We start from the raw sequence: 17,642 nt of genomic DNA, 5'->3' as shown, positions 1-17,642 counted from the left end.
TATATGTGGAGACACTGATTGAGAATTTTCCAGATATGAGAAAAGGTCCTGAGTCCTCCAATCAAAAGCACACAGCCGAAGGTAAATAAAGAAACCTACACCCAGATACATGTAACGAAGTTGTAAAACATCAAAAAGAAAGAGCAAATCATGGCTGGGTGTATGGTTCATGCCTGTAATCCCAGCACTTTGGGAGGCCAAGGGGGAAGGATCCTTTAAGGCCAGGAATTTGAGACCAGCCTAGGCAACATAGGGAGACCCTGTCTCTACAAAAAAAAAAAATAATAATAAAATAAAAATAAAAATAAGCTGGTTGTGGTGGTGCAGGCTTGCAGTCCTAGCTACTCGGGCAGCTGAGATGGGAGGATAGTTTGAGCCCAAGAGTTTGAGGCTGTAGTGAGCTATGATCATACCACTGCACTCCAGCCTGGGCAAAAGAGCAAGACCCTGTCTAAAAAAAAAAAAAAAAAATGCTGGGCGCGGTGGCTTACACCAATAATCGCAGGACTTTGGGAGGCTGATAGGGGAGGATTGCTTGAGCCCAGGAATTCAATATGAGCCTGCAACATAGGGAGACCCAGTCTCTACCAAAACAAACAAACAAACAAACAGAAAAACTGGCTGCAGTGGCACACACCAGTCATCCCAGCTATGCAGGAGGCTGAGGTGTGAAGATTGCTGGGTCCCAGGAGGTCAAGGCTATGGTGAGCAGTAATCAGGCCACTTCACTGCACTCCATCCAGCCGAGTGACAGAGCAAGACTCTGTCAAAATAATAATAATAATAATAATAAATGTTAAAAAGAGAAGGAAATTCATGTTTATCATAAAATAATATTAAACCATCAAAGCAGTTAAGAGCAAGAATTAAGATTAATATGTGAAGTTAGCAGTTATATTGGATATATTTATGTATTTGCATGCTCTCGGGCAGATCCACATTTGGTAGAATGCTTCAAAAATGCTATTTTTGGGCGGGTGCAGTGGCTCACACCTGTAATCCCAGTACTTTGGGAGGCTGAGGCAGGCAGATCCCCTGAGGTCAACAGTTTGAGACCAGCCTGGCCAACATGACGAAACCCCGTCTCTACTAAAAATACAAAAATTAGCTAGGCGTGGTGGCACATGCCTGTAATCCCAGATACTCGGAAGGTTGAAGCAGGAGAATCACTTGAACCTGAGAATCGGAGGTTGAAGTAAGCTGAGATCGTGCCATTGGACTCCAGCTTGGGTGACAGAGTGAGACTCCATCTCAAAAAAAAAAAAAATTGCCATTTTCATCATCAAACACTTATTTGTCCAGGATGCAGTATGACTATGTTCTTCTTCATTATGTTTTAGAATGAAGAAGCAGTACGACGTCTCATCTGGGAAAAGAATCTAAAGTTTGTGATGCTTCACAACCTGGAGCATTCAATGGGAATGCACTCATACGATCTGGGCATGAACCACCTGGGAGACATGGTAGGTACATTACAAGAAATCCCACTTTCACGTCTGGGTAAATATCATTTCCTTTCTGTCTCCCCAAAAGCAATTTGAAGGTAAACAACAATAACAAAGGAATGTATAGTACAAAGTTGGAAAACAGTAGAATTGAAGGACGTAAGAACGTGTACAGAAATTTCTTACTTAGTTCTATTTTGACTGCTTTCTTTCTTTAACAAATCACTTCTTTAGAGGAAATTTTAAACTCAGAGACTACCATTGTTTTTTTTTTAATAAATTCTAGAAAGTATTACCTAAAGACTATTGACAGGTTTTTATAGCAAGTTGCCATACTTATTTAAGTCTAGATTGACAATTTAGTATGACCCATCTGCTTTCTTAATGGGAGAATGTGGGTATTTAATATCACAAATAATCCCCTATTGGTTTTCAGATTCTGTTCTGTCCTGCAAAACTTTACCACTGTTGCCAAAGTGAAGAAGGGAACGCCCTAGGTAGACTGAATTCCTTCTTAAATGCAGGAATCTCCTTTGTAATTATTTCTCACATGGGAAACCAGTTTAGTCCACTTTTTAGACAGCCCTTTTATAAAATTCTGCCTTGCTTTGAAACAAAAATCTGCCTCCCTGTAACTTCTAGTTTTTACCATTCTCTTTTTCTCCTTCCCCATGAGGGTGCCTAGCTGGGATGCTAGTGCCAAGTGTGAAACTAAACAAACCCAGATAATTCGCCCCACCAGATCCTAATGGAACCTGTGTTGGTCACAACTATTACTGTTTTTTCTCAGTTTTTTTATTCCATGGCAGTTTTTAAATATATTCACAGTTACAGTTATTAGGATATTAGAAAGTAGGATAGGCTGGGCACAGTGGCTCACACCTGTAATCCCAGCACTTTGGGAGGCCAAGGTGGGCAGATCACCTGAGGTCGGGAGTTTGAGACTAGCCTGACCAACATAGAGAAATCCTGTCTCTACTAAAAATACAAAATTAGCTGGGCGTGGTGGCACATGCCTGTAATCTCAGCTATTTGGGAGGCTGAGGCAAGAGAATTGCTTGAACCCGGGAGGCAGAGATTGCAGTGAGCCGAGGTCATGCCATTGCACTCCAGCCTGGGCAAAAAGAGTGAAACTCCGTCTCAAAAGAGAAAAAAAAAAAAAAAAAAGAAAGAAAGAAAAGAAAGAAGGATGTAAGTGAAAGAGATATATAGTCATGTGTCATATGCATTTTGGCCACTGATGGACCACATATACCATGGTGGTCCTTTAAGATTATGATGGAGCTGAAAAGTTCCTCTTGCCTAGCTAGTGATGTTGTAGCCACCATAACAATGTAGCACAACACACTACTCACTTGTCTGTGGTGATGCTGCTGTAAACAAACCTACTGCTCTGCCAGTGGTATGAAAGTATAGCACATAAAATTTTGCACAGTACAAAATGCTTAATAATAATAAATGACTATGTTACTGGTTTATGTATTTACTATACTATACTTTTAATTGTTATTTTAGAGTGTACTCCTACTTATACTTTTAAAAAGTTAACTGTAAAACAGCCTCAGGCAGGTCCTTCAGGAGGCATCCAGTAGAAAACATTGTTATCAGAGGAGATGACAGCTCCATACGTGTTGTTGCCCCTGAAGACCTTCCAGTGGGACAAGAGGTGGAGACGAAATGCAGTGATACTGATGATCCTGACCTTGTATAGGCCTAGGCTAATGTGTGTGTGTGTTTGTATTTTAGTTTTTAACAAAAAAGTGTAAAAACTTTTAAAAAATTAAAAATAGAAAAAGCTTATAGAAGAAGGTGATAAAGAAGAAAATATTTTCGTACAGCTGTACAATGTGTTTGTATTTTAAGGGGTTACCATAGAAGACAAAACATTTAAAAAATTAAAAGTTTATTAAGTAAAAAAGTTGCATTAAACTAAGGTTAATTTATTATTGAAGAAAGAAAAATGTTTTAACAAATTTAGTGTAGCCAAAGTGCACCGTGTTTATAAAGTCTACAGTAATGTCCTGGGCCTTCACATTCACTCTCCACTCACTCACTGACTCACCCAGAGCAACTCCAGGCCTTTCATAGTAAATGACCTATATAGAAGTACCATTTTTACTTTTTTTTTTTTTCTTTGAGATGGAGTCTCACTCTGTCGCCCAGGCTGGAGTGCACTGGCGCGATCTCAGCTCACTGCAACCTCCGCCTCCCAGGCTCAAGTGATTCTCCTGCCTCAGCCTCCCAAATAGCTGGGATTACAGGCATGCACCACCATGCCCAGCTAATTTTTGTATTTTTAGTAGAGATGGGGTTTCACCATGTTGGCCAGGCTGGTCTTGAACTCCTGACCTCAGGTGATTTGCCCGGCTCGGCCTCCCAAAGTGCTGGGATTGCAGGCGTGAGCCACCATGCCCAGCTCCCATTTTTACTTTTTATACTGTATTTTCACTCTACCTTTTCTATGTTTAGATATATTTAGATACACAAGTACTTCATATTGTTCTACAATTGCCTACAACCTTCAGTACAGTACCATGCCGTGCAGGTTTGTAGTTTAGGAGCAATGGGCCCTACCATACAGCCTAGGTATGTAGGAGCCAATACGCTCTAGGTTTGTGTAAGTACACACTATGGTGTTTTCACAATGACAAAATCACCTAACGATGCATTTCTCAGAACATATTCCAGTCATTAAACAATGCCTGACTGTATATTTGCTTTGTAGACCAGTGAAGAAGTGATGTCTTTGATGAGTTCCCTGAGAGTTCCCAGCCAGTGGCAGAGAAATATCACATATAAGTCAAACCCTAATCGGATATTGCCTGATTCTGTGGACTGGAGAGAGAAAGGGTGTGTTACTGAAGTGAAATATCAAGTGAGTATTACCATCCCAAGCCTCTGAACCCTAGGTAGAGCTCTTTAAATGCTTAGTCTAGCTACAGAATTTGACAGTGAATCTTACAGTCCCACGTGTTACTTTCTAGTTATTTTTGTTATTCTTGTCTTCCCAACTAAATTATAAGTTCCTTAAGGGCAAGGATCACATATTATATTTTATTTATACAGTTGGCCCTCCATATCCACAGCTTCCACATCTGCAGATTCCACCAACCGTGGATCAAAAATATCCAGAAAAAAATGAAAATAAAAAATAGGCCAGGCACTCACGCCTATAATACCATTACTTTGGGAGGCTGAGGCAGGCGCATCACCTGAGGCCAGGAGTTCCAGATCAGCCTGGCCAACATGATGAAACCCCGTCTCTACTAAAAATACAAAAATTAACTGGGCCTGGTGGCACATGCCTATAATCCCAGTTACTCAGGAGAGTGAGGCAGGAGAATCACTTGAACCTGGGAGGCAGAGGTTGCAGTGAGCTGAGATCACACCATGGCACTCCAGCCTGAGCTAAAGAGCGAGACTCCATCTCAAAAAAAAAAAAAAAGGTAAAGTATAAGGGAGGGCCGGGCGTAGTGGCTCATGCCTGTAATCCCAGCACTTTTCCAGGTCAAGGGAGGCAGATCACTTGAGGTCAGGAGTTCGAGACCAGCTTGGCCAACATGGTGAAGTCCCGTCTCTACTGAAAATACAAAAATTAGCCTGGCGTGGTGGTGGGCGCCTGTAATCCCAGCTACTCGGGAGGGTGAGGCAGGAGAATCACTTGAACCTGGGAGGCAGAGGTTGCAGTGAGCTGAGATCTTGCCACTGCACTCCAGCCTGGGCGATAGAGTGAGACCCTGTCTTAAAAAAAAAAAAAAAAAAAAGTGTATAGGAGGATGTGTAGGTTATATGCGAATACTCAGTAATTTATATAAGGAACTTGAAAATTCTTGACTTTGGTATGCTCAGAGGTCCTGGAACCAATCCCTTGTGGATACTGAGGGACAACTGGATTCTCCACAGTGGTTTTTGTTTTGTTTTGTTTTGTTTTGTTTGAGACAGGGTCTCCCTCTGTTGCCCAGGCTGGACTGCAGTGGTGCGATCTGGGCTCACTGCAACCTCTGCCTCTTGGGCTCAAGTGATCCTCCCATCTCAGCCTACACGGTGACTACAGGCACACACCACCACTTTTTTTTTCTTTGTATTTTTAGCAGAGATGGGTTTTGCCATGTTGCCCAAGCTGATCTCAAGCTCCTGAGCTCAAGTGATCCTCCTACCTCCACCTCCCAAAGTCCTGGGATTATAGGCATGAGCCCTCGTGTTCAGCCCCCACAGTGCTTTTCTAAGTGATCATAGAGCCACCTACTTAGACAAACACTGAACTAAGCAAATAGGTGTTTAACACAGACTTTTATTGCTCACGCTATGCATTGACTGCACTGGACTCTCCAATAAGCCAATTGCTTGAGAAGCAGTGTTGTGTGAGAGAGCCCTGGTGATCAGGAAGTTTCTCCATTTCACTTGTGAGTTTCAAAGTTGAAGGAGAAGAAAGAACTAGAGATAGAGTGTTCTATAAATTGAGCCACTCAAGTTAATTCATGGCTAGTCTTGCATCGTTAGAATATGAAATATGTGCCTTGTAAAATTATTGTTCCTATGCTGTTGTATTTTCCTTTAGTTTGCTTGTTTTAAAAAAATTGCAAAAATCCTAAATTAGTTAGAGGTAAAACACATGTATCACCATAGAGGTCAGGGTAAGTGAGAGGAATCAAAGCATTCTGAGCAGCTACCCCAGGTTGTGATCAATGAAGAAAGTAAAAATTTATTAGGAAGTAAATGGTGGCCAGGCACAGTGGCTCACATCTGTGATTCCAGCACTTTGGGAGGCAGAGGCAGAAGGATCGCTTGAGCCCAGGAGTTAGAAACCAACCTAGGCAATATAGTGAGGCCCTGACTCTACAAAAAATAAAAATAAAAATTAGCCAGGCATGGTGCGCTCCTGTAGTCCCAGCTACTTGAGGGGCTGAGATGGGAGGATCGCTTGAGCCTGGGAGGTTGAGGCTACAGTGAGCCATGATCACACCACTGCACTTCAGTCTGAGTGACAGAAGGAAACCCTGTCTCAAAACAAACAAACAAAAAGAAGTAAATGGTACTGCTAATCTCTTATTCTTTTCCACCTACATATTTTTCTTTCAATTAGTTTTGGATTTCTTACCCGAGGTTCTCTAAAATAACAGCTTTTAGAAGACCCAATAAACCACATATTTAGATGTTAACTCTGAGTAAGTTAATGAGCTCCTTTCTCTGGGTGCTTGCATTTTAATGAACAATTTTGCTTCAATCAAAAGCAATGTCAGTTTGCTTCCTTTTGGTGGAGAGCAAGGTGGGAGGAGGGAAGGAGAGAGAAAGAGAACAATTATGATGGGGCTCTGGACACTCTGCCCCTTTTAAAACTAAAGCAGCTTTGCCTTTTTTTGTTTGTTTATGCCTCCTTGTAAAATATTTTTTAATCAAAAAAATTCTGAAGATAACAAAGGTTTGAAAAATGCCAACCTAGGATTAAACTTCTTATGTTTCAGGCATCATATGACAGGAGAAAGGGTATTTTAGGTCAAGGAAATCATCCTAGCTCTCTCAAAATCTCATTACTGTAGGCAACTATCTCCCTTACTTATGGGTGAAAATAGGTGCAATTTGGTACATGCTCAGTGAGTATTGTTTCTAAGTATATTTGAATATGGCCATTATGTTCTGAGCTTGGCTGATTGCAAATCTCTATCAAGGTTGGACCTTGCCTAGATAACAATTGAGTTAAATTTAGTCTTCATTCCCATTGTTAAAGACAGAAGGAAACTGTAGTGGGGGAGCTCTTTCTGGGAACTAGGGACAGAACTGATGTAGCTGAGCGTTGTCCAGTTTGGGTTATGGAAGTCATTCCGAATGATTTTCTGTGATTTGCGTTTGTGACCTTGTATCTGTTTTAGGGTTCTTGTGGTGCTTGCTGGGCTTTCAGTGCTGTGGGGGCCCTGGAAGCACAGCTGAAGCTGAAAACAGGAAAGCTGGTGTCTCTCAGTGCCCAGAACCTGGTGGATTGCTCAACTGAAAAATATGGAAACAAAGGCTGCAATGGTGGCTTCATGACAACGGCTTTCCAGTACATCATTGATAACAAGGGCATCGACTCAGACGCTTCCTATCCCTACAAAGCCATGGTGCGTCTTAAGCAAACTTTTTGTGCTGCCCCATGATCTCATGTTATCCACTGACTGACTGTGCTGGGCTTGCCACCATGCCAATTGCTTGAGAAGCAGTATTGTGTGTGAGAGAGAACCCTGAAGAGGAATTCTTAAATTCTCAAGAGTTCTGTTTCTGATGAAGTACTCTTCTTAATATATCAGTAGTACAAATAAGGAAGTAGCATTCATGCTTAAAAACAGATTTTAATGACTGGGCGTAGTGGCTCATACCTATAATCTCAGCACTTTGGAAGGCCGAGGTGGGTGGATCACCTGAGGTCAGGAGTTTGAGACCAGCCTGGCCAACGTGGTGAAACCCTGTCTCTACCAAAAATACAAAAATTAGCCAGGCATGGTGGTGCATGCCTGTGGTCCCAGCTACTCGGGAGGCTGAAGCAGGAGAATCGCTTGAACTCAGGAGGTGGAGGTGCAGTGAGCCGAGATCACGCCACTGTACTCCAGCCTCGGCAACGGAGCAAGACTCCATCCCAAAATTAAACAGATTTTAAGCAAACTATCCTTAAAATTATTTCTCTGTATTTAAACTTTTTCTTCTGCAGCCTCCCATGCTCAACCTTATTCTCAGATCATTAACCACATCATTCTTCCACCCACTGAGAAGCTAAATAACACTCTCCTCTTCCTCAGAAATTCATTATACATTTTGATATAACGATAACCTAAGGATTGTGTCCATGTTACAGAAGATTTTAAAAATATAAAAATATCACTCAAAAACCTTCTACCTTAACCACTATTGTTTTGGTTTATTTCTTTCAAGTTATTTTCTTGTTAAGCACTTAAAAAACATAGTTGGCCAAGTGTGGTGGCTCACACCTGTAATGTCAGCACTTTGGGAGGTCGAGGTGGGAGGATTGCTTGAGCTCAAGAGTTTGAGACCAGCCTGTGCAACATAGTGAGACCTCACCTCTACTAAAAATCAAAAAAATTAGCCAGGCATGGTGGTGCACACCTGAGTAGCAGTTCCAGCTACTCAGGAAGCTGAGGTGGGAGAATCACTTGGCCCAGGAGTTGGAGGCTGCAGTGAGCCATGATTATGCTACTGCACTCCAGCCTGGACAATGGAGTGAGAGCCTATCTCAAAAAAATAAATAATATAAATAAATACAAAATAGTTGTATATACAACAAACATGAATTTGTAACTTTCCTTTTCCCACTTGAAATACTTGTGTTTCCCATATTATATGGTCTTTATATACCATCATTTTAGCTGCAGATCATCTTGCAGGCATCAAAAAGATTTTAAAGCTCTCATCTAGAGTTTATTATCTCTATGTAATATTTCCCTACAGTCCACCTGAAAGTCTGAGGGGCCATTGTCCTGGCAAGTTTTGCATGTATGAGGATGTTCACAATTTGAAAGAATAGAATAGTTCTGTATTTCCTCCATTATTGCTGAAACCCGGGACTGTTAGGATTTGGAAGATTTGCAAAGGAAGGAGCCTTAGACACATGAAAAAGTTAAAGAAAGGAAGGGAGACATTTAAAATCCAGGCTTAGGATACAGGTGATTTATACAGGAGTTGAAGTATACTTCATCATATTTATACTTCTTTTTGCAGGATCAGAAATGTCAATATGACTCAAAATATCGTGCTGCCACATGTTCAAAGTACACTGAACTTCCTTATGGCAGAGAAGATGTCCTGAAAGAAGCTGTGGCCAATAAAGGCCCAGTGTCTGTTGGTGTAGATGCGCGTCATCCTTCTTTCTTCCTCTACAGAAGTGGTAAAAAATAAAATAAACAATAATTAGAATTTAAAGAAAGAAAGAAAGGATATTGGCTGAGCACGGTGGTTCATGCCTGTAATTCTAGCTTTGGAGGCTGAGGTGGGAGGATTGCTTGAGCCTGGGAGTTTGACACCAGCCTGAGCAACATCGCGAGACCCTTATCTCTACGAAAAATAAAAATAAAAATTAGCCGGATATGGTGACACTCACTTGTAGTCTCAGCTACTTGGGAGGGTGAGGCAGGAGGACTCCTTGAACCCAGGAATTTGAGGTTACAGTGAGCTATGATCATACCACTGCACTCCAACCTGGGCAACAGAGTGAAAACCTGTCTCTAAAAAACAAGGAAGAAAGAAAGAGAAAGAAGGAAGAAAGAGGGGCAGGGCAGGGCAGGGCAGGGCAAGGTGGGGCGGGGCGGGGCGGGGCGGGGTGAGGCGGGGCGGGGTGAGGCGAGGCAATTTTAAACCTCATGAACCAACATCTGCTGGCTTCAAACTTTTCTTCTGTAGCTTCCTCGCCTCTCTCAGCCTTCTTACAATAGAAGAGAGTTAGGGTCTTGTTCTGGATTAGGTTTTGGCGTAAAGGCATGCTGGGCTGGCTTACTCTTGTATCTAGACCACTCACATTTTCTCTGTATCAGCAATAAGGCTGTTTCACTTTCTTGTCATTTGTGTGTTCAGCAGAGCAGCATTTTTAATTTCCTTCAAGCACTTTTCCTTTACATTCACAGCATGCCTGACTGTTCGGTACAAGTGGCCTAGGCTAGGTTCTGGCCTGTCTTGGCTTTCAACATGCCTTTCCCGCTAAGCTTAATCACATCTAGCTTTTGACTTAAAGTGAGAGATATGCAACTTTTCTTTTTACTTGAACACTTAGAAGCTATCATAGGGTTATCATGTGGCATAATTTCAATATCATTGTGTCTCAGGGAACAGGGAGGCCTGAGGAGAGAGATGGGGGTGTGGCCAGTCCGTGGATCAGTCAGAACACACACAACATTTGTGGGTTAAGTCTGCTATCTTATATAGGTGTGGTTTGTAGCTCACCCTCAAAATTATGAAGTAACATCAAAGATCATTGATCACAGATGACCATAACAGATATAATAATGATGAGAAAGTTTGAAATATTGTGAGAATTACCAAAATGTGGTACAAGGACACAATGTGAGCACATGCTTTTGGGAAAATGGTACCAATAGACTTGCTGAATGTAGAGTTGCCACAAACCTTCAATTTGTAAAAAATGCAATATCTAGCTGGGTGCAGTGGCTCATGCCTATAATTCCAGCGCTTTGGGAGGCCAAATCAGGAGGATGACTGGAGCCTAGGAGATTGAGGTTACAATTAGCTATGATCATACCACCTGTATTACAGCCTAGACAACAGAGCAAAACACTGTTCCTTAAAAAAAAAAAAAAGCTAATATCTGCAAAGCACAATAAAGCAAAGCACAATAAAATGAGATATGCCTGTATACACAGAGAATTAAAATAACTGATTGTATGCAAGTTTAAAAATACTTAGAAAAAAACAAAAAAGAAAAAAACTTAGAAAAAGGTGGTGTGCTTATCAAAGAAGGTTTCTGGGGGAACTATGACTGGAGTGATGCTAAGCTTGGCAAGAACACTGACAAATACAGCATTGGTGGCAAATAATTATGAGCCCTAGTTTATGCATGACAGTATATGTCCTTGACTTTTTTTTTTTTTTTTAAGATGGAGTCTTGCTCTGTTGCCAGGCTGGAGTGAGGTGGCACGATCTCAGCTCACTGCAACCTCTGCCTCCTGGGTTCAAGCAATTCTCCTGCCTCAGCCTCCTGAGTAGCTGGGACTACAGGTGCGTGCCACCATGCCCAGCTAATTTTTGTATTTTTAGTAGAGATGGGGTGTCACCATGTTGGCCAGGATGGTCTCGATCTCTTGACCTTGTGACCCGCCCGCCTTGGCCTCCCAAACTTCTGGGATTACAGGCATGAGCCACCATGCCTGGACATGTCCTTAACTTTTTAAATTAACCTTGCTATGTATCCAAAGCAGGCTAATAAAAAGTAATACCGTTTTAAAATGCCCTTTATTATCCTATAGTATTCACTCTTTTTTCCCACCCATATTTGATTCTCAGGTGTCTACTATGAACCATCCTGTACTCAGAATGTGAATCATGGTGTACTTGTGGTTGGCTATGGTGATCTTAATGGGAAAGAATACTGGCTTGTGAAAAACAGGTAATATATTTACACTTTATATTTAATTGGAATCAGGAATTTGAGGGAGTTTCAGCAAATACTCTCATGATTTTGATGATGATCATTATGATCACGATATTGACAATGATGAACTTTATAGCTTCTTACAAAGTGACATTCTAAATTACTCAGTGCCCCCATCTTTTCACTTACCATTCTGCCTTCATCACTTTGTTTTCCTGGTTTATCTTCTGTACTACTTCTGTGATTATTCCTTCTCAGCCTCTCTCATGAACCTATTCCTCTCCTCTATTTAGCCCAAAAATGTTAGTTTTCCCCAGGGCTCTATCATCTGCCCATTCCTCTTCTTATTTTATTTTTTCTTGGGTGCTATAATTCCACTCTTAGGACTCTAGCTATAACCTTTATATGCCAATAGCTTTTGAATCTCTAGCTCTAGTTCTGACATCTTCCCAGAACTTCAGACTTATCTGGACACACTCACTTACATATATCTTAGTCTTTCCAAACTCAATACATCCAAATAATTCAGTACTCTCTCCCCCATACTGTTCCTCCTTCAGAATTTCCCATATCAGTAAAGGGCCACACAACACAATCACCCAATAAGATATGATGGATTCATCTGAGACCTCCCCAAGTCCAACCAAGCAACCAATTAGTCAAACCAATTTTACCTTATCTATGTCCTTGATTCTGTTCCTTCTCTGTTTCTTCTATTACGGCTCTAGTTCAGGCATCTCTAGTGTGGACTATTGCTGTACCCTTCTAACTGGTCTCCTTTACTCTCTATTTTCTTCCCCTTTACCCTCAAATCCATCTTTCATACTGCTGCCAAACTTATTTGTCTAAAATATGAACGAGTCTGGGCTTATAACTCTTCTACTGAGTTTCATTCGGTGTAAAATTAATGTTCCCTGACAGAAGACAAATCCTATAGGCTGTGCTCCCTGCCTTGCCAGCCTCACCTCCTGGCATTTGTTGCCTCCTATTTTCACTCTGGTTATACTGCACTATCCACAGTTGTAGTTCCCATACATTCCACTTTATCTGTAATACCTTCCTTCATATCTTGGTTTGTGTTCCCTCTGCCTAGAACATCCTGTCTTCTCTTTTGGTTTACTTCTCCTTTTCTTCAGAAGTAGCTCAGGCACAATCTATTCCAGAAAAGTCTTTCCTGAATCCTTGGGCTGAGGAACATGTCTTTTTTCTATGCTGCCAAAATGTCCTATGCATACTGGATCACAGGATTTTAGGCATTATATTTAAATTGTATATTTACCTGTCTGTCACTCCAGTGTTCTGTACGTGCCTTTGGGGAGAGATTATGTCTGGTCTTCATATCCGCAGCACAGACTAAGTGGGTGGCACCTAAAGGCCCCTCAATATATGTATTGAACTGACATCTATATCACTCATAAACAAAAGGAACATAACTTCTAGAGGGAAAAAATGGAGGAAATATGAAGAGTTGAGACTTTGGGGCATACCTGGAGTTTCTCTTTGTGTTAGTTTGCTATGGCTACCATGACAAAGTGCCACGAACTGAGCAGCTTAAATGACAGAAATTTATGTCTCCCAGTTCTGGAGGCTGGAAGTCTAAGATCAAGGTGTTACTTCCTTCTCACGCTGTGAGGAAGAAAATATTCGTGGACACAGGAAAAAAAAACTGTATGATCTTACTTATATGTGGGATCTAAAAAAGTCAAACTTACAGAAACAGACAGTAGAATGATAGCTGCCAGGGACTGGAGGCTGGGTAATGAGGAGATGCTGATCAAAGAGTGTAAACTTTCAGGTATAAGATGAACAGATTCTGGGAATCAAAGGTACAGCACGGGTGGAGATGGATGTGTTATTTCATTTGATTATGTCAATCATTGCACAATGTGCACATACATCAAGTCATCACACTGTATACCTTGAGTTTATACAATCTGTCAATTAAATATGTTCTTTTAATTAAAAAAAAAAGTTTGATGCCTCTCCCCTAGCTTCTGAAAGTTTGCTGGTGATCTTTGACTTTCCTCAGCCTTTAGGACAATCACCCTGACCTCTGCCTTCATTTTCACATGACATTCTCCCTGTATGCATTTCTGTCTCTATTCATAATTTTACTTTCTTCCCCTTTTTGAGACAGGGTCTCACTCTGTCACCCAGGCTGGAGTGCAGTGGGGTGATCAATGTTCACCGCAACCTCAAACTCCTGGGCTCAAGCAATCCTCCCACATCAGCCACCAAAGTAGCTGGCACTACTGGCATGCACCACCACACCAGACCAATTTTAATTTCTATTTGTAGAGACAGGATCTCTCTATGTTTCCCAGGCTGGTCTCAAACTCCTGGGATCAAGTGATCCTCCTGCTTTGGTCTCCCAGAGCACTGGGATTACAGGTGTGAGCCACTGCGCCTGGCCAATTTTCCCTTTTCATGAGCATCATTCATGTTGGATTAGGACCCACCCTAATGACCTCATCTTAATTTAATTAATTATGTCTACATCAACCCTATCTCTAAATAAGTTCACATTCTGAGGTACTGGAGGTTAGGATTCCAACATGAATTTTGTGGGGACACAATGCAACCCATAACACCCCTTAAATCTTTACTTGAAGTACATAGTCTACAAATCAAACAAAAGGTGCTTTCCTACCCTTTTCCCACTGTGGCACACATAGAAGATGATGATATTCGTATGGCCCATGGGGAAAGTAGCTGAGGGGATCAATATCTTGGTTCACTGATAACCTATTCACAGCACTGATCAGCTTGGGTGTAGACCAGTGATAGCTTTTTAAAATGAAACTATTTCCCTCATATCTTATTGACTCTCTAAGGAACTCCCTACGGCAGGTGTTCTAAATTCCCTTCTCTACTGAAGTTGCTCTTGAAGATCATCTATATCTTTTAGTGTTGAAATTCAAATCTGCTTCTCTTCACTCATTCATTCAACAAGCACTTACTAGGCATCTACAATGTGACTGGCATTATCTAGGCCCTGGAGATACAAAAAATAGTAAGAAACCATCCTGTCCTAAAGGCACTCACAATCTAACATGAAAAAATATATATAATATATATTATATATACATACATAATATACAATACATATTATGTATGCATACATAATATACAATACATATTATGTATGCATACATAATCTATAATATACATAATATATAATATAATACATAATATACATATATAATATATAATATATTATGTATACATAATATACATATATAATATATAATATATTATGTATACATAATATACATATAATATATAATATATTATGTATACATAATATACATATAATATATAATATATTATGTATACATAATATACATATAATATATAAATATTATGTATACATAATATACATATAATATATAATATATTATGTATACATAATATACATATAATATATAATATATTATGTATACATAATATACATATAATATATAATATATTATGTATACATAATATACATATAATATATAAATATTATGTATACATAATATACATATAATATATAAATATTATGTATACATAATATACATATAATATATAAATATTATGTATACATAATATACATATAATATATAAATATTATGTATACATAATATACATATAATATATAAATATTATGTGTACATATTATGTATACATAATATACATATAATATATAATATATTATGTATACATAATATACATATAATATATAAATATTATGTATACATAATATACATATAATATATAATATATTATGTATACATAATATACATATAATATATAATATATTATGTATACATAATATACATATAATATATAATATATTATGTATACATAATATACATATAATATATAATATATTATGTATACATAATATACATATAATATATAATATATTATGTATACATAATATACATATAATATATAATATATTATGTATACATAATATACATATAATATATAATATATTATGTATACATAATATACATATAATATATAATATATTATGTATACATAATATACATATAATATATAATATATTATGTATACATAATATACATATAATATATAATATATTATGTATACATAATATACATATAATATATAATATATTATGTATACATAATATACATATATAATATATTATGTATACATAATATACATATATAATATATTATGTATACATAATATACATATATAATATATTATGTATACATACATATAAATCTCTCTATATATAAATATAAATATATTTATAAATATATATATATATATATATATATCTCCCAGCCTCCCAAAGTGTTGGGATTACAGGCGTGAGCCACCACCGCACCCAGCCTAGATGTATTTTTAAACGATACAACAAACACATCGTGGTATAATGATACATGTCTAAATGGCTATGGGACTGTTGAAGAGGAAATGCCTAACAGCCTAAACCTCCACAGAGAAGACACTATTTGAATCAAGTTTCCAGATGTATGGAATTGTTCATGTATTGGAGGAGGAAAGTGTGTTAGAGGTTGGAAAGTTGCTCTCAATGACCCAAAAAACATATGCAATGGCACATTTCTCACTATCTTGATTCATTTTGCTACATCAACTTTAGCCTCATATCTTACGTTATTTTATCCACCTGCCTGTTACATGAGTTTGCTATATCAAAGCAAACTCATCTATATCAAAGCAAACTCACCTGCTCCTTCAGTTTCAACTATTGCCATTATGTAGATGATCCCCAGTTCATAATCTCTGAAAATGACCTCCTAAGTGACACACTTCCTTGTCCAACTTCCAATTTGGCAGCTCTCCTTGAAAAATCCAAACTCCCCACCTACATCACCCTACTACCAACATATACACACTCTCATACTCAATAAGTTTACAATGTTCTTCTCTTCCTTTCTTCCCTCATCCCTGAAAAGGATTTTCAAACAAGCTCAAGGGAAAACTATTCCTTATTTTGGGTAATATATTACCATCTTCAGATTATTAAAGCCTAAGCATCATCTTGGCCTTTTCCTTTTCCCCCCTCAACCCACCCAGCCCTATCCATTTGGCCTGTGAATCATATTTTATATGTATTTTCTCTTTGCCATTCCCAATGGCCCTGCTGTAATTCAGATTCCATTCTACCCAGCTATAGCGGTATCTTTTTAAAATATAGATCATGTCAACTCCTGCTCAAAAATTCTGAATAGTTCACCATTGTCTAAAAATGAAGTCCAAACTCCTGGCCAGGCATTCCAGGTACTCCATTATCTAGCTTTTAACATAACCTTAGACATTTCTTCCACTATATTTTCATATACCCACAGTCATACTCTGGCCACAGTGAACTACTTATTCATCATTCCCTAAGTTTACAGATACATCCCTACCTCTGTTTCTTTATATATGCTGTATCTTTCTGAAATGCCTGTGAAGTCCAATGCTGTCTATAGAAATCCCACCTGTCTTGGTGAAATGGGCATTCTTATACAGTTTGATGGGAAAGTAAGCTGTATTTATTCTTTTTTTTTTTGAGATGGAGTCTCACTCTGTCACCAGGCTAGAGTGCAGTGGCATGATCTCAGCTCACCGCAACCTCTGCCTTTAAGGTTCAAGCAATTCTTCTGCCTCAGCCTCCCGAGTAGATGGGACTACAGGCATGTGCCACCATGCCCAGCCAATTTTTGTATTTTTAGTAGAGATGGAGTTTCACCATGTTGGATGGAGTTTCACCATGTTGGCCAGGATGATCTCGATCTCTTGACCTCGTGATCTGCCCACCTCGGTCTCCCCAAGTGCTGGGATTACAGGCATGAGCCACCCTACCCTGCCTATTCTCTTTCTTGGAAGCAATTTGACAATATGATAAAGAACTTTTTAAATGTTCATATTCTTCCCCCCCCCTTTTTTTTTTGAGACAGAGTCTCGCTCTGTCTCCCAAGCTGGAGTGCAGTGGCACAATCTCGGCTCACTGCAACCTCCGTCTCCCAGGTTCAAGTGATTCTCCTGCCTCAGTCTCCCAAGTAGCTGAGATTACAGGTGCCCACCAAAACACCTGGCTAATTTTTGTATTTTTAGTAGAGATGGGGTTTCACCATGTTGGCCAGGCT

At 39.2% G+C, this 17,642-nt stretch overlaps 1 protein-coding gene across 2 annotated transcripts in view, besides 7 other annotated features; it reads left to right on the top strand.

Annotated features, from left to right (window-relative positions):
- The window catches only part of CTSS (cathepsin S), a 35,591-nt gene that overhangs the window by 6,458 nt on the left and 11,491 nt on the right, over positions 1 to 17,642 (top strand). Inside the window, exons 3-7 of one of the 2 annotated variants that reach the window (NM_004079.5) lie at positions 1,341 to 1,463; positions 4,171 to 4,320; positions 7,313 to 7,540; positions 9,150 to 9,315; positions 11,442 to 11,544. In NM_004079.5, the coding sequence (NP_004070.3) occupies positions 1,341 to 1,463; positions 4,171 to 4,320; positions 7,313 to 7,540; positions 9,150 to 9,315; positions 11,442 to 11,544 (770 nt within the window). The remainder of the gene's footprint in view (positions 1 to 1,340; positions 1,464 to 4,170; positions 4,321 to 7,312; positions 7,541 to 9,149; positions 9,316 to 11,441; positions 11,545 to 17,642) is intronic. The other variant, NM_001199739.2, reaches the window with a different exon arrangement.
- Positions 3,049 to 3,193: an enhancer, noted in NCBI's record as "145 bp 1:150728676 sequence used in MPRA reporter constructs". NCBI's record gives its function as "activates a minimal TATA-containing promoter with rs10788794 allelic activity by MPRAs in C283T melanocytes {active_cell/tissue: C283T}" and the evidence as "EXISTENCE:reporter gene assay evidence [ECO:0000049][PMID:36423637]".
- Position 3,121: a transcriptional cis regulatory region, noted in NCBI's record as "rs10788794 or 1:150728676 MPRA-significant variant associated with a GWAS melanoma risk locus at 1q21.3". NCBI's record gives its function as "allelic transcriptional activity by MPRAs in C283T melanocytes {active_cell/tissue: C283T}" and the evidence as "EXISTENCE:reporter gene assay evidence [ECO:0000049][PMID:36423637]".
- Positions 4,186 to 4,330: an enhancer, noted in NCBI's record as "145 bp 1:150727539 sequence used in MPRA reporter constructs". NCBI's record gives its function as "activates a minimal TATA-containing promoter with rs2230061 allelic activity by MPRAs in C283T melanocytes {active_cell/tissue: C283T}" and the evidence as "EXISTENCE:reporter gene assay evidence [ECO:0000049][PMID:36423637]".
- Position 4,258: a transcriptional cis regulatory region, noted in NCBI's record as "rs2230061 or 1:150727539 MPRA-significant variant associated with a GWAS melanoma risk locus at 1q21.3". NCBI's record gives its function as "allelic transcriptional activity by MPRAs in C283T melanocytes {active_cell/tissue: C283T}" and the evidence as "EXISTENCE:reporter gene assay evidence [ECO:0000049][PMID:36423637]".
- Positions 9,565 to 10,214: an enhancer, noted in NCBI's record as "H3K27ac-H3K4me1 hESC enhancer chr1:150721583-150722232 (GRCh37/hg19 assembly coordinates)". NCBI's record gives its function as "activates a minimal SCP1, AML or CMV promoter by ChIP-STARR-seq in primed H9 embryonic stem cells {active_cell/tissue: H9 hESC(primed)}" and the evidence as "EXISTENCE:reporter gene assay evidence [ECO:0000049][PMID:30033119]".
- Positions 10,550 to 10,694: an enhancer, noted in NCBI's record as "145 bp 1:150721175 sequence used in MPRA reporter constructs". NCBI's record gives its function as "activates a minimal TATA-containing promoter with rs1134067 allelic activity by MPRAs in C283T melanocytes and UACC903 melanoma cells {active_cell/tissue: C283T | UACC903}" and the evidence as "EXISTENCE:reporter gene assay evidence [ECO:0000049][PMID:36423637]".
- Position 10,622: a transcriptional cis regulatory region, noted in NCBI's record as "rs1134067 or 1:150721175 MPRA-significant variant associated with a GWAS melanoma risk locus at 1q21.3". NCBI's record gives its function as "allelic transcriptional activity by MPRAs in C283T melanocytes and UACC903 melanoma cells {active_cell/tissue: C283T | UACC903}" and the evidence as "EXISTENCE:reporter gene assay evidence [ECO:0000049][PMID:36423637]".

The sequence above is a fragment of the Homo sapiens genome, chromosome 1 (assembly GCF_000001405.40).
Source record: "Homo sapiens chromosome 1, GRCh38.p14 Primary Assembly".
Lineage (NCBI taxonomy): Eukaryota > Metazoa > Chordata > Mammalia > Primates > Hominidae > Homo > Homo sapiens.
Note: the sequence above shows the minus strand (reverse complement) of the source record. Positions and strands in the feature narration are given on the sequence as shown.